At 39.9% G+C, this 2,696-nt stretch overlaps 1 pseudogene; it reads right to left on the reverse strand.

Annotated features, from left to right (window-relative positions):
• On the reverse strand, nt 1,075–2,489 carry SERBP1P4 (SERPINE1 mRNA binding protein 1 pseudogene 4; annotated as a pseudogene).

Genomic DNA, 2,696 nt, shown 5'->3' on the forward strand with positions numbered 1-2,696 from the left:
GCAACATATGTGTCCATCAATTGATGAATGGATAAAGTAATAGTGGTACATATACACAATGGAGTACCATTCAGCCATAACAAAGAATGAGATCTTGTCATTTGCAACAACATCTATGGAACTGGAGATCATTATGTTAAGTGAAATAAGCCAGGCACAGAAAGACAAACATCACAAATTCTCATTTATTTGTGGGATATAAAAATCAAAACAATTGAAATCATGGAGACAGACAGTAAAAAGATGATTACCAGGGACTGGGAAGGGTAGTAGGGATTGGTGGTGGAGGGAAGTGGCGATGGTTAATGGGTACAAAAAATAGAAAGAATGAATAATGCCTAGTATTAGATAGAACAACAGAGTGTCCATAGTAAAAATAATCTAATTATACATTTTAAAAATAACTAAAAGAGTATAATTGGTTTGTTTGTAATACAAAGGATAAATGTTTGAGGTGACGGATATCCCATATACTTTGATGTGAATATTTCATGTTGCATGCCTGTATCAAAATATCTCATGTATCCCATAAATATGCACACCTACTATGTATCCACAAAAAATTTAAAATAAAAAAAATAAATGAAGTGAAAGCTTTAAACTAGTATACACATTTCACACCTATATTTCAAGCTTGGAAATGCAAATTTGCAAGCAGCAATACAAAAGTATTCATGAAGAATGCATAATTCCTGATATTTATAAAAACATAGCTACCAATACATTTTTAAATACAAAACTGACTACCATATTTGTTAATTTTATGTAGTGAGAGAAGTTCTTTTTTTTTTTTTTGAAACGGAGTCTCGCTCTGTCGCCCAGGCTGGAGCGTAGTGGCGCTATCTTGGCTCACTGCAACAGCCGCCTTCAGAGTTCACGCCATTCTCCTGCCTCAGCCTGCCGAGTAGCTGGGACTACAGGCGCCCGCCACCACGCCCGGCTAATTTTTTGTATTTTTAGTACAGACGGGATTTCACCGTGTTAACCAAGATGGCCTCAATCTCCTAACCTCGTGATCCGCCCGCCTTGGTCTCCCAAAGTGCCGGGATCACAGGCATGAGCCACCGCGCTGCCGAGAAGTTCATTATTAAAACAGATACAATTCAGTCTTTAAGTGTGAATTGTGTGAATGACAGCCTGTTTAAAACATGATTTCTTCATTGTTTCGAATCCTTAAGCATGCAAAGGCATTGAACAGGAAATTCCACAAAGGAACCATGGTTGTTCTATTGCATTCAGTTAAGCCAGAGCTGGAAATGCCTCTGGGTCATCCATATCAGGAACAGAAGCACCTGACTTGTCAGTCGTGCTGCTGAGGTTCTGAGGTCCACCACATATTCACCTTGTCTTCCCCTCCCACCAAGTCCTCGAGGGCCAGGGTCTCCAAAATTGATCTCCCGCTGAGACATTATATCATTTGCTGGCTTTCAAAAATGATGGTCCTTAATGACAAGTTCAGCATGAGTCTCTTCACTCTTTGATTTATGAAGCGCACATCTCTTCTTCCAGTGCCCATCAATCAGTACCTTTGTTTTGTTTTTGGATATTAAATTCTACTTTTGGCCAGTCCTTACTTTGAATAGCATTCCACTTATCCAAAGTCATCTCTTTTGGACCCTCTTTTTTACCTCTTAAACTTCCTTCTCCTTATTTTCAGTGTCTGCCACTGGAAGTTCTTCACCTTCAGGTGTTTCCTAGGTCATATTTGATGAATCCAAGTCAGTTAACTTATCATTTACAGTTCCCCAGTTGTAAAATCCACTACCTCCATGTTTGTCCTTGTGCTTCAGGCTAGATATATGCCTTCCAGCATGCCTACCAGCATGCCTATCAAATTCACATTTACCATAAAAATCAAATCCATACCCTTGGCCCATTTCACTTTGACAGCCCTCTCTACTTCTTCCAAGGCCACCACAGCCTCGAATGGGTTGGTAAATGATAGGTCTATCAAATAAAATTTTCCTCTTTCACCCTTTTCAAGTGGTTTTTCAAATCTTCCTTCATGAGGTGGTTGCCTTTCCCCGTCTTATCTCAATTATTTTCCCTTCACCTTGCAGTTGTTGATTGGGTCTTCTTCCAATTCACCTTATTCCTTCTTTCTTAACCTCCATGGGCACTATATGTCCTCTTGCCAACCATGCCAACTTTTGGGGCAAGTGGGTTCTTGCTGTCTTTCTGAGACTCTTTATACAACTGTTTGTCCGTGGCATTGGAGTTGGTCTGGGCCATGGCCTGAGATGAGCTTTTGGCCCCAGCACCCCCAGTGACACCCCCACTGGCTTATTTTCTCTAGTTCTCAGCTGCCTTCAGCACCTTGAATGGGTCCAATTCGTCTTCAAAGAACTGGTTAAATGGGTTGATGACCATGCAGATGAAGCATTCCTGTAAATGGCCAGGCACAATGGTGGGTCAGAGGCATGTTCCTCAATGGATTGTAGCTGGCTGTGCAGAAGCAAGATCACCTTCTTCAGTTCTTCCCACAAGATATTATGACACTTTAGATTTTGGCTTCATAATTTATGGTGAGAAATCCACTATCATTAGGATATTGGTATTCTCCTAACAGCAATGCATCATTTTTCTCTAGCTGCTTTCCGTATTTAATATTGTCTTTAGTTTTCAGAAATTTAATTATGATATGTGAATTTCTTTGAGTTTATCTAATTAAAGTACATTCATATTATTGAATCTCC

The sequence above is a fragment of the Homo sapiens genome, chromosome X (assembly GCF_000001405.40).
Source record: "Homo sapiens chromosome X, GRCh38.p14 Primary Assembly".
NCBI classification, from domain to species: Eukaryota; Metazoa; Chordata; class Mammalia; order Primates; family Hominidae; genus Homo; species Homo sapiens.